Genomic DNA, 13,492 nt, shown 5'->3' with positions numbered 1-13,492 from the left:
GACTAGCATTGCTAATACCAAAGTGTGCACTTGTTGAAAACTATGGCAAATCCGACAGCCAAGACTGGTAAAAGTCCAGGGTTGTAGCACACAGAAACTCATTAAACACTAAAGCAACTGCCTCATGTCCCTTGAGCTTCTCAGCGCACTTTAACCTCAGAAACTCTGGAAGCTATTTAGAAGCTGTGATTCTGAAGAAGCAGACATATCTCCAACACATTTTGGTTATGAGCACCTGATTTAGCTTGGCTATATTGCTTCTCCAGCCACATACATTCGCCAGCTATCTCCACGGGAGTCATAAATCTCAATAGCCTCATCATTGCACTTCTTTACATTGCCAAAAGCATGTCATAAACAAGGCTCAAAACCACCATTCTGTATCAGTGAGCATTTTGGTCTTGCTGGATTGAAATGATATCATTAAGTGTGTAAAAGGCTGTAAGTAACATTTTACTATGCCTGAAAGTGTTAGCCTCTTCGTTCACTAATTACCTTTCAACATAAATGTTCTTTCCCGTCCCAAGGGAGTAGAGGCTGCACAGTATGTGGTAGCATGAAATCTGCACATCACCCACTGAAACAAAGAAGAAATATCATTGATTTGCATCAATCCTGAATACAGAAAGGATCCATGAAGAGGAAAAAAAAAATGCATGAGCATCAGTAAAGAGTAAAAGATCTCTCCCTTTCTCTCTCAACAAACATATCCCTTTTCTACCCAGATGCCAGTTTGCTAATTGCTGGACTAGGAAAAAAAAAATATAGGAAAAATCCTCCACTGAGCAATCCCAGTTCCTTTGTGGGGCTTATCATGAAGATTACATCGCTTCACAGGGAAAGGAATCATTTGACCAATGGGTCCTTCCATAATGCGATTTGGTTCGTTTCCAATAGAGACATTTTAGCCCAGTTTTATCCAGGGCAATATTTCCTTCCTTTGGAAGGATGAATGCAGAAAATCTGAAGCTTGAATGAGCCTTTTGCTCATTTCCCAGGAAGATACGTCCAACTGCTAGACTTCCCTTAGAGATAGAGCAAAATCCCTCACATCTGCCTATCCCAGGTTCTCTGCTGGGTGTTCTGCAAAAGGCAATTCAATAGTATGATTTTATCATGTTTCCTAGGGGAAGGGCATGTTTTGCTTGTGAATCTGGCGGCTACACATCCCTAGCCATGTCTAGAGCTCATACCAAGGCCGGGACTACTTTCAGAACTAATTTAATGTTTTCTTTTCCGACCAAGGAACTGCACTGTTTCTATGGCACAAAATAATGAGTTTGGATGTTCTTCCAGCCCCCACACAACAGAAATCACTGATTTTCAGTTGTTCAAGGATATGAAAGACATAGTCTTAGCTATCAACAACTGGTCAAATTAAATCATGTCCCAATATTTAAAGTGTAAAACTGAAGTCTGGTGGCAGACTATCTGCACAGGGGGCTGGAGGAGGTGGTGGCACTAAATATGGTGTTAATGCAAACTAAAATAAAACCAACCAACTTTGGTCTTCCGAAAGCTCAGATAAGGAAATGTTAGCATTTTTCCTTTGCTCCTGGTATCCAATGAATAAATTAAGTCTTCTTAATAAGAAAAATGATGTCTCAAAAACCCAGGAGCAAATCTGTATCTCCCACTGTATTACTCAGATAACCTTTGAAATTAAGCGAGAGTACAATAGCTGAGAGCTAGACAGGCAGATGGGAAATTCTGGTCCAGAACAAAAGTGGAAAAAGATAAATATTATATACTCAAATTAGGGAATTTCTTTCCATTCCAAGAGTATATTACTTCTTCTTCTTCTTCTTCTTCTTTTTTAATCTAAGAAAGAAAAGGCATGGAATAATTCTCTCTCTGCTCTGCCCTCAAGGTCAATGTAAGTGAATGGGCCCTGCACCTCCTATCTGGGGCCATGTGCACATACATCCACGACAAATACCAGTAGAACTCACAGAGTAGATCCATTCCAAACTGATGCTGAGTGACGTGCTCAAAGATGGACGTCAGGATGGGGAGCAGAGCCACTGTAGTGTAGTTAATATTCTGAGAAACGCCTTTAATCTGCGTTCGGGAATGGGTGAACTTCCCAAGTTTCAGGTTTTCTGAAGTCTTCTCCAAATCTTCTGCAGCATTTTCAAAGAATGCTCGTAACCCAGCCTTCACCAGCTCTGAGCCTGACTTCATGACAGTCCTGCAAGCAAACAATGTTCAAATCTAGAAGCATAATCTGAACTTTTGGCCAATCCCCTTCTTGAAACTGGCAGTGTCATCTGGGCAGACATTTGCCACTCCTGTCACTCAATGACACTGTGTCAGGAGAAAGGGAGAGAGCAGTTAACATCCAGGAAGAAACCTGAATCACACAATCCCAGAGGGGCTAGCCACTGGACAGTCTGAGGAAAACATTGCTCACCTCTTCAGGAAATGCAGAGAACAATTTAGAATGAAGCCAATATTGGTCACCCACTATTATCTACAGTAAGTTGCAACTGGCTAAAGTCTTCTGTAAAGATCTAGTTAAAAGAACAGGGAAATGAGCTTTAAGAAAAGTTGTGGGATAAACAACTTTTTTTTTTTTGAGACAGCGTCTCACCCTGTCACCAGGCTGGACTGCAATGGTGTGATCTCGGCTCACTGCAACCTCTGCCTCCCAGGTTACAGCAATTCTCCTGCCTCAGCCTCCCGAGTAGCTGGGATTACAGGCACCCGCCACCACGCCCAGCTAATTTTTGTATTTTTAGTAGAGACGGGGTTTCACCATGTTGGCCAGGATGGTCTCCAATTCTTGACCTGGTGATCCGCCCGCCTTGGCCTCCCAAAGTGCTGGGATTACAGGCGTGAGCCACCGTGCTCAGCCTAGATAAACAACTTTTATAAAGGTTAGCTAGAAACATAAACTCTTCCGATGTAAGACCTCTTAGAGGAAAAGAGCAAGGAAATAAGTCAACAGAAGCTTAGATTTCTGTTAGTTTGCGGGAAACGTCCTAGGTTGGATGAGGAAAGAGAAAAGAGACAACTAGCCGTTTTAAAGTAGACAGCTTAATCAGACCTCTGGAAAACACAAAACAAAACATTGAAATGTGATCTACAGGGATGAAGATCAGCTATGGAGATTTGAAGCCTTCCCTCAAAACTACAGTATTTCATAAAACTTAGAATTGGAACAAAGCTTACAAGTCATCTATAAGTTTTGTATTTCTATATCTTATTCAGAAGATTATGAAAGACTTGGTTCAAGGACAGATGCTTTTTATCTACATCATTTTCCTGATAATCATTCAACTCATCAAGACAATACAAACAAAGAAATAAAGTCAGTTAGGCTTGTTCTTATCCTATAAGTATTCATGGGCTATCTTTCTAACTTTTTTTTTTTGAGATGGGGTCTCACTCCGTTGCATAGGCTGGAGTGCAGTGACCTCTCATGAGAGCCTCCCATGCTCAGCAATCCTCTCACCTCAGCCTCCCGAGTAGCTGGGATCACAGGCATGTGCCATCATGTCTGGATAATTTTTAAAATTTTTTGTAGAGATGGGGGTCTATGTTGCCCAGACTGGTCTTGAACTCCTGGCCTCAAGCAATCCACCCACCTCTGCCTCCCAAAGTGCTGGGATTACAGGCGTGAGCCACTGCATCTGGCCCTTCCTAACTTTCTAGTCCCAGGTTTTGTCAGGAATAATTACTAAACACACCAACCTGCAACTGACCTTCATTTAAAACAAAACAAAACAAAATAAAACAAACAAACAAAAAACTGGACTCTCTCAAGACTTTTCCCAAGTTTCTTGGAGTAAAGATTTCTCATCCCTTTAATAGTCCTTATTCTCCTCCTTTTTTATAGCCATTCTCAGTTCATTGTGGATTTTCATCTTTGGGACGCTCTTTTAGTGTCCCACTCTTTTAGGTTGGTAACCTCTTTTGCATTGGGTCTTAGGAGGTGTGTCCTCCTCCCAATTTTGATAAAGACGTTTCTTTCTTTTTTTTTTTTTAAAGATGAGGTCTCTCTACATTATTCAGGCTGGTCTTGAACTCCTGAGTAGCTTCGACTATAGGCAGAAATCATGGTGCCCGGCTCTGACAAGGACCCTTCTTAATGGGCATGTTAAAGAAAGGTCCCTGTCAGTTCTTTCCACTGCTTCTCTCTTATTTATATATATTTTTTAAGACAGGGTCTGGCTCTGTCATCCAGGCTGGAGTGTAGTGGCGTGATCTCAGCTCACTGCAACCTCCACCTCCTGGGCTCAAGCCATCCTCCCACCTCAGCCACCCGAGTAGTTGGGACTACAGGCATGCACCACCATGCCTGGCTAGTTTTTGTATTTTCTGTAGATGTTTCACCATGTTGCCCAGGCTGGTCTTGAACTGTTGAGCTCAAGCGATCTGCCTGCCTCGGCCTCCCAAAGTGCTGGGATTATAGGCATGAGCCACCGCGCCTGGCCTGCGTCTCTCTTTTCAGTCTCATCATTTGTGTTATTACCAGAACTTATGTATTATTTTTTAAGACTTCTTCCCAAATCCCTAGGCCATGGCATCAACGTCTTTGTCTCTGATTCTTTTGAAGCCAGATCTCTGTGCATTTCCTTCCTTGGCCATTTTGAATTCAGAGCGCTGTGGTTCATCTTTCCCATAACATTTGTAGATTCACCACCCACCAGTGGGGTTTGCCACATTATATATTTTATCTTCTGAAAGACAAACTTCTTAGGAAGGAAAGATAAGAATTGATCAGGCCTTTGCATTCCGTCTATGCCATGGCAGTGGCTCTCGTTATGTGAACTGAGAAAAAGAGAGTGCTAACTTCTAGGGTCTTTGCCCTGTCTCTCCTCTCTTCTCAAAGCCTGGCAGCAGCGATCTGTCTTCTCTTCAGTATAATTAGTGAGATGAGAGGGTCAGAGAGGAAGTCATGAGAAACTATTGGGAAAAACTGGGCAGACTTACCTTGTGTCAAGTGTCTGAGCTAAGATGTGAAGACAGCTCACCATTGTAGTAGAATCACTACCTGGAATAAAAAAAATCATCTGTGATTCCCTCAAACCACTCAGCCTGTCTTTCAAATGCAGTCTTCTCCATATGCACAAGCCACAGCCCCAGCGTAATTAACTACCAACACATAAAGTCCTGGGCCTGTGTTCAGCGACAATGCATTAATTTCTAGCCTGACACAGCCTTGCTTTATGATGGATGTCAGAGGTAGAGCTTAAAATTTTCATTGGTGTGGAAAATCTGAGCAGTTAAAAGGGTAAAGAGGTCATTTATCATGCTTCAGATCAATTTTCTATGGCAAATTTAGGTGACACCTTAGTCCCAAGGCCCGGGTTGTCTGAGGAAGACACAAATAAAGGCAAAGTGCAAGTTCAAGATAATTACAGGGAGGAGCGGTACCTTGAGCAACACTTCACTTACCAAAGAGGGAAATTCTGTGTCTAACGAGAGCGGCAAGTTTGCAGAACAGGCTGAAGCAGAAAAGAAAGCAATTCAGAAAGTCACAGAGATTAAAGGACTCACGCTTTGTATCCCCCACCCCAATGTCCCTTACACTGTGAAACAGAGAGCACAGAGTGGCATTCTAGGGAGATGCACTATGTTCCTAGCAAAGAATCCTCTGGTCCACACTCAGGAACATGTGTGGTTCACACTGCCTTGGAGAATCATGAAAGGTACCTTGCAGGCAGCTCCATCTTTATTAAACACAATCCCTCTGAAACAGTTATAGTATTTTGCAGTGACCCAGTGCAAAGTATACTTTGCTATAGAGTACCATGTACTGAAACGTTCATTTGTGTGACATTCAGGGATAAATGAAGACTCCGGAAAAAAGCATGATTTTCCCCTTGTTGCAATGGATTGCAAACCATTTTGTAGCCTTCCATTGAGGGTATGAAGTTTTAGTTGGGAGGTTGGCAAGAAGCTGGGATTGGAAAAGTGTTAATGGTTCAGGTACAAGGTGAGATTGTGTTAAACAAAAACGTTTTAAGAATTGTGTATTCTCTGTCATCTCCAGTTAGTCTCCAGGCCTGACCAGGTCACTGTTCTAACTGGGTCCTTGGAAACTAGGAAAGGCCCATGTTGTATATTTTTGTGTTTTTTGACTCTCCTTTATGCTTTCACCCATATTTTCCACTGTGGAACCACTGAAGGTTCAGCTGTGCCTCATTGTTTGACTTTCCACAGTGCCTAATGAGGGCCTTGTGATGTCAGAAAGGAGTCCATCGCTGTTTCTGAACATGCTGCTAATGGACCTCACCTAGGGGCACTGTGGCCATCATTTGACCTGTGTTGCTGAGGCTCTTGGGAAGAGATTGCTCAGAACTGACATTACTGACACTGGCATGGCTAGACAAGAACTTTGCAGTTGCTTCAGAAAGCAGTGGAATAGAAAGAGGGAAAAAAGAAGAGAGAAAAAAGCCACCTGGATAGGCCACGGGGTCCCCTGGTGACACATTCCCAGTTTCTGATTCATAACTCATCACGGAGCTCCTTACCCCATTCAGGGCAGAAGTCTTCCATAGGACAACTCAAATGGGGAAGGAATATATCCTGAGTGTTGATGGGGATGAAAACCTGCTCACCTTTAAATGTTTTCAATAAATGCCCTGAGTCTTTTTGGACTGTCTACTGGAAAATCACAACAAAAGTTCCCATGGCTAGTTAATTGGTCTTGCAGTGGAAAAGAGTTGGGACCCCCTGGCCTATAGCTTAAGAGAACACACAATAAGTTACCAGAAACGTGGCAGCCATCTAGGGTGAAATTAAATATCGGCTGCTCTTTTTTTCTTCCCATGGTTTTTTTTTCAGAGACGGGTAGTTGATGCAAACTCATGGAGCTGAAGCGAGGGGCTAACCCTGTGGAATGTGGGCTCTGTTCCTCTGTGATTAGCTGGGCTGTCTTGGGGAAGCCCCTTAACTGCTCTGTGTGGTAACTTTCTCACTGTAGAGAGTCATCATAGGACTCGGGTTTCAGAGTTAGGGGCAGGTAAACTCAGGTATTTCTGGTGAAAATGCTTCAAGTTGGACACATGTTCTGTGTAAACACAAAACAATGTTTTTCTAACAAAGGCAGATATTTGGGTTGTTTGATCCTCATACTAACATGGCTAATCTCATTGTCAGAAGTGCTTTCTTAGGCATGCCAAGGCCAGGATCTGAAATTTCCAAAGGCTACTGCTTGTTCCCTATGGAACCTGGGATTTAACTGGAAGCACCGTCTTTAGCCCAGAGTTATGAGGGCCCCGAGTCCCCAAGTGCCTCTCCTCCATCTCAGAGTTTGAAGACAATAAATGAAAGGAATCTCAGGGAGAGTCTGAGACCCACGGGCAAAGGGCTGCAGATGCAGAAAAGGTGGCGCAAGGGCGAAGATTGCAAAGAAGAGAAATCTGGCAATGCAGACACATTCAGTGCAAACACGACTGCTTCTGTGGGAGGGCAGCAAGCACACTGATGGATTTGAAAGCTATTTGCAAGGCTGATCGGCTCTAGGTTGTATTCCAGCCGTGACAAATGGTGCCTGGTTGAACAAATGTTACATTTCCATGAATTAATAATCTAAGAAAAGTAGATAAAGAAAACAGACACACCTGCCCTCTGTTGGATTATCTGAATATCTCACTTTACTCACTGTTTCCCTAGCTTCTTACAAAACACACTGGTGCATCCTGCAAATGTTTAGGAGGTCTTCGGTCAGCACCTGATTTTAAGAGTATCTCATTTTGATAGCATGGGGCGTCTCCTGTCTTAACTTAGAGTAAGTAATTAGGGTGCAGGATAAATCATACTTCACGTGGATACAGAGGACTGGTTTTTCTTTTTTTCTTTTTTTTTTTTTCTTTTTGAGGTGGAGACTCACTGTCTTGTCCAGGCTGGAGTATAGTGGTGCCATCTCGGCTCACTGCAACCTCCGTCTCCTGGGTTCAAGCGATTCTCCTGCCTCAGCCTCCAGAGTAGCTGGGACTACAGGTGCGTGCCACCACGCCCAGCTATTTTTTTTGTTTTTTTAGTAGAGACAGGGTTTTGCCATGTTGGCCAGGCTGGTCTCAAACTCCTGACCTCAAGTGATCCACCCACCTCAGCCTCCCCAAATGCTGGGATTACAAGCGTGAGCCACCGCACTCAGCCAGGACTGCATTTTTATTCTTGTCCTAACTCAGAAGAGTCACTTTGGGTAGTAGAGTTAACCCAACTGAAATTCAATTTCTTCATCTGGAAAATGGAGATCATACTACACAGGCAGTTCTCAGAATTTAAAACATCATGATGTTTCACAGAGATTTTTACACAAATGGGCAATAACTCTTATATATAAAAAACTGTGCTCAATGCTAAGTGTTTCATAAAAGTTAGCTAAATCTCAAAGTTGAATATCCTCCCCAAGATGGTGATATTTAATGGCTGGGCCCTATAATGTACACTGTTCACTGGATGCTAGGGAAAGCGTTTTTAGACTATTTAGACTATTTTCTTTTTTTTTTTTTTTTTTTTTTTGAGACGGAGTCTCACTCTATTGGCGAGGCTGGAGTGCAGTGGTGCCATCTCGGCTCACTGCAACCTCCGCCTCCTGGGTTCAAGTGATTCTCCTGCCTCAGCCTCCTGAGTAGCTGGGACTACAGGTGTGTGCTACCATGCCCGGCTAACTTTTGTATTTTTAGTAGAGACGGGGTTTTATCATGTTAGCCAGGCTGGTCTCGAACTCCTGACCTCAGATGATCCGCCTGCCTTGGCCTCCCAAAGTGCTGGGATTACAGGTGTGAGCCACCGCGCCTGGCCTCCTAACTATTTTCATTAGGGTCTTAGCTTTTTGCTACTTAAAAGTCTAGTCCATTCCTGTATTTCTTTAATAAAATACAGAGAGAACCTGAGGCACAGTAGAATCCATCTTTTAGCCCAATCATGACCTATCCCCTCTTTTCTCATTTCTGTTAATGTATCTACATGTTAACCTAGTGGAATGAGTAGGAAGCCTGGTGCTTTTGATGAAAAATTTTTTTCCTATTAGGAATTTAAATTGAATTATGTTGTTTTAGACTACAAATTTCAGCTCACTCACATCAGGACTTGTATGATGTCTTTTTTTTTTTTTTTTTTTTGAGACGAAGTCTTGCTCTGTTGCCCAGGCTGGAGTGCAGTGGCATGATCTTGGCTCGCTGCAACCTCTGCCTCCCAAGTTCAAGCGATTCTCCTGCCTCAGCCTCCTGAATAGCTGGGATTACAGGCACGTGGCTTCACGCCCAGCTAATTTTTGCATTTTTAGTAGAGATGGGGTTTCACCATGTTAGTCAGGCTAGTCTCAAACTCTTGACCTTGTGATCCGCCTGCCCTGGCCTCCCAAAGTGCTGGATTACAGGCATGAGCCACCGTGTCCAGTCGATCTGAGTCTTTTTATAAGTTTTAATCTTATAGAGTTTGATAAGCATGGGATGGAAAGCAGTGTCCACCTGTTTATTCACAGTGTTACGTGTTCACTTTCCCCAAGCTTCAGAATGATCTTTGCCTTCTTCTCAATGTTGTCACAGGACAGATGCTCATTTTTTTTTTTTTTTAATTATGGTTTAAGTTCTGGGACACATGTGCAGAACGTGCAGTTCTGTTACATAGGTATACACGCGCCATGGTAGTTTGCTGCACCCATCAACCTGTCATCTACATTAGGTATTTCTCCTAATGCTATCCCTCCCCTTGGCCCCCACCTCCTGACAGGCCCCGGTGTGTGATGTTCCCCTCTCTGTGTCTATGTGTTCTCATTGTTCAACTCCCACTTATGAGTGAGAACATGTGGTACTTGGTTTTCTGTTCCTGTGTTAGTTTGCTGAGAATGAGTGTTTTCAGCTTCATCCATGTCTCTGCAAAGGACATGAACTCATTCTTTTTTATGGCTGCATAGGATTCCATGGTATATATGTGCCACATCTTCTTTATCCAGTCTATCACTGATGGGCATCTGGGTTGGTTCCAAGTCTTTGCTATTGTGAACAGTGCTGCAATAAACGTACACGGGCATGTCTTTATATTAGAATAATTTATAATCCTTTGGGTATATACCCAGTAATGGGATTGCTGGGTCAAATGGCATTTCTGGTTCTAGATCCTTGAAGAATCGCCACACTGTATTCCACAATGGTTGAACTAATTTACACTCCCACCAACAGTGTAAAAGCATTCCTATTTCTCCACATCCTCTCTCCAGCATCTGTTGTTTCCTGATTTTTTTTTTTTTTTTTTTTTTTTGAGATGAAGTCTCGCTCTGTCACTCAGGCTGGAGTGCAATGGTGCAATCATGGCTCACTGCAACCTCCACCTCCTGGATTCAAGCGATTGTCCTGCTTCAGCCTCCCAAGAAGCTGGGATTACAGGCGTGTGCCACCATGCCTGGCTAATTTTTTGTATCTTTAGTAGAGACGGGGTTTCACCATGTTGGCCAGGCTGGTCTCAAAATCCTGACCTCGTGATCTGCCTGCCTTGGGCTCCCCAAAGTGCTGGGTTTACAGGCATGAGCCACTGTGGCTGCCCTCCCGACTTTTTAATCATCACCATTCTAACTGGCGTGAGATGGTATCTCATTGTGGCTTTGATTTGCATGTCTCTAATGACCAGTGATGATGAGCTTTTTTCATATGTTTGTTGGCCGCATAAATGTCTTCTTTTGAAAAGTGTCTGTTCATATCCTTCACCCCCGTTTTTGATGGGGTTGTTTTTTTTTTGTAAATTTATTTAAGTTCCTTGTAGATTCTGGATATTAGCCCTTTGTCAGACAGATAGATTGCAAAAATTTTCTCCCATTCTGTAGGTTGCCTGTTCACTCTGATGGTAGTTTCTTTTGCTGTGCAGAAGCTCTTTGGTTTAATTAGACCCCATTTGTCAATTATGGCTTTTGTTGCCATTGCTTTTGATGTTTTAGTCATGAAGTCTTTGCCCATGCCTATGTCCTGAATGGTATTGCCTAGGTTTTCTTCTAGGCTTTTTACGGTTTTAGGTCTTATGTTTAAGTCTTTAATCCATCTTGAGCTAATTTCTGTATAAGGTGTAAGGAAGGGGTCCACTTTTAGTTTTCTGCATATGGATAGCCAGTTTTCTCAACACCATTTATTAAGTAGAGAATCCTTTCCCCATTGCTTGTTTTTGTCAGGTTTGTCAAAGGTCAGATGGCGGTAGATGTGTGGTGTTATTTCTGAGGCCTGTGTTCTGTTCCATTGGTCTATATCTCTGTTTTGGTACCAGCACCATGCTGTTTTGGTTACTGTAGCCTTGTAGCATAGTGTGAAGTCAGGTAGCGTGATGCCTCCAGCTTAGTTCTTTTTCCTTAGGATTGTCTTGGCAATGTGGGTTCTTTTTTGGTTCCATATGAAATTTAAAGTAGTTTTTTTCTAGTTCTGTGAAGAAAGACAATGGTAGCTTGATGGGAATAAAATTGAATCTACAAATTACTTTGGGCAGTATGGCTATTTTCAGGATATTGATTCTTCCTATCCATGAGCATGGAATGTTTTTCCATTCGTTTGTGTCCTCTCTTATTTTCTTGGGCAGTGGTTTATAGTTCTCCTTGAAGAGGTCCTTCATATCCCTTGTAAGTTGTATTCCTACGTATTTTATGCTCTTTGTGAGAATAAATGCAATTGCCAATGGGAGTTCACTCATGATTTGGCTCTCTGTTTTGTTTATTATTGGTGTATAGGAATGCCTGTAATTTTTTCACATTGATTTTGTATCCTGAGACTTTGCTTAAGTTGCTTATCAGCTTAAGGGGTTTTTGGGCTGAGTCGATGGCATTTCTTAAGTATAGGATCATGTCATCTGCAAACAGAGATGATTTGCCTTTCTCTCTTCCAATTTGAATACGCTTTATTTCTTTCTCTTGCCTGATTGCCCTGGCCAGAACTTCCAATACTATGTTGAATAGGAGTGGTGAGAGAGGGCATCCCTGTACAGTGCCGGTTTTCTAAGGGAATGCTTCCAGCTTTTGCCCATTCAGTATGATATTGGCTGTGGGTTTGTCATAAATAGCTATTATTTTGAGATATTTTCCATCAACACCTAGTTTATTGAGTGTTTTTAGCATGAAGGGGTGTTGAATTTTATCGAAGGCCTTTTCTGAGTCTATTGAGATAATCATGTGGTTTTTGTCATTGGTTCTGTTTATGTGATGGATTATGTTTGTTGATTTCTGTATGTTGAACCAGCCTTGGATCCCAGGGATAAAGTCGACTTGATTGTGTTGGATAAGCTTTTTGATGTGCTGCTGGATTTGGTTTGCCCGTATTTTATTGAGGATTTTCGCATCGATGTTCATCAGGAATATTGGCCTGAAATTTTCTTTTGTGTGTGTATGTGTCTCTGCCAGGTTTTGGTACCAGAATAATGCTGGCCTCATAAAATGAGTTAGGGAGGAGTCCCTCTTTTTCTGTTGTTTGGAATAGTTTCAGAAGAAATGGTACCAGCTCCTCTTTGTACCTCTGGCAGAATTAGGCTGTGAATCTGTCTGGTTCTGGGCCTTTTTTGGTTGGTAGGCTATTAGTTACTGCCTCAATTTCAGAACTTGTTATTGGTCTATTCAGGGATTCGACTTCTTCCTGGTTTAGTCTTGGGAGGGTGTATGTGGTGTCCAGGAATTTATCCATTTATTCTAGATTTTTCTAGCTTATTTGCATAGATGTGTTTGTAGTATTCTCTAACGGTAGTTTGTATTTCTGTGGGATCAGTGGTGATATCCCCTTTATCATTTTTTATTGTGTCTATTTGATTCTTCTCTCTTTTCTTCTTTATTAGTCTGGCTAGTGGTCTATTTTGTTAATCTTTTCAAAAAAACAGCTCCTGGATTCACTGATTTTTTTAAGGGTTTTTCGTGTCTCTATCTCCTTCATTTCTGCTCTGATCTTAGTTATTTCTTGTCTTCTGCTAGCTTTTGAATTTGTGTGCTCTTGCTTCTCCAGTATTTCTTTTAGTTGTGATGTTAGGGTGTCAATTTTAGATCTTTCCTGCTTTCTCCTGTGGGCATTTGGTATTATAAATTTCCCTCTAAACATTGCTTTGGCTGGTGTCCCAGAGATTCTGGTACATTGTGTCTTTGTTCTCATTGGTTTCAAAAAACTTATTCATTTCTGCCTTAATTTCATTATTTACCCAGTAGTCATTGAGGAGTAGGTTGTTTGGTTTCCATGTTCTTGTGCAGTTTTGAGTGAGTTTCTTAATCCTGAGTTCTAGTTTGATTGCACTGTGGTCTGAGAGACAGTTTGTTGTGATTTCTGTTCTTTTACATTTGCTGAGGAGTGCTTTACTTCCAATTATGTGGTCAATTTTAGAATAGGTGCATGTGGTGCTGAGAAGAATGTATATTCTGTTGATTTGGGGTGGAGAGTTCTGTAGATGTCTATTAAGTCCGCTTGATCCAGAGCTGAGTTCATGTCCTGCATATCCTTGTTAATTTTCTGTCTCGTTGATCTAATATTGACAGTGGGGTTTTAAAGTCTCCCACTATTATTGTGTGGGAGTCTAAGTCTGTTTGTAG

The 13,492-nt window shown here is 42.1% G+C and overlaps 1 protein-coding gene across 20 annotated transcripts in view; it reads right to left on the bottom strand.

Moving 5' to 3' along the window:
* The window catches only part of RYR3 (ryanodine receptor 3), a 555,136-nt gene that overhangs the window by 91,992 nt on the left and 449,652 nt on the right, over positions 1–13,492 (bottom strand). For 19 of the 20 annotated variants that reach the window (XR_001751370.2, NM_001036.6, XM_047432931.1 and 16 more), the window contains 4 exons: positions 5,404–5,453; positions 4,939–4,999; positions 1,953–2,191; positions 496–577 (listed from right to left, as the gene is read on the bottom strand). Coding sequence is in view for 18 of the 20 variants with exons in the window: in NM_001036.6 (NP_001027.3) it covers positions 496–577; positions 1,953–2,191; positions 4,939–4,999; positions 5,404–5,453 (432 nt within the window). In the remaining 2 variants the exon portion in view is untranslated. Of the gene's footprint in view, positions 1–495; positions 578–1,952; positions 2,192–4,938; positions 5,000–5,403; positions 5,454–13,492 lie in introns of those variants that run through there. The other variant, XR_001751371.3, reaches the window with a different exon arrangement.

Source organism: Homo sapiens, chromosome 15 (assembly GCF_000001405.40).
Source record: "Homo sapiens chromosome 15, GRCh38.p14 Primary Assembly".
In the NCBI taxonomy this organism is placed as follows: Eukaryota; Metazoa; Chordata; class Mammalia; order Primates; family Hominidae; genus Homo; species Homo sapiens.
This window is presented reverse-complemented; position numbering and strand designations above follow the sequence as displayed.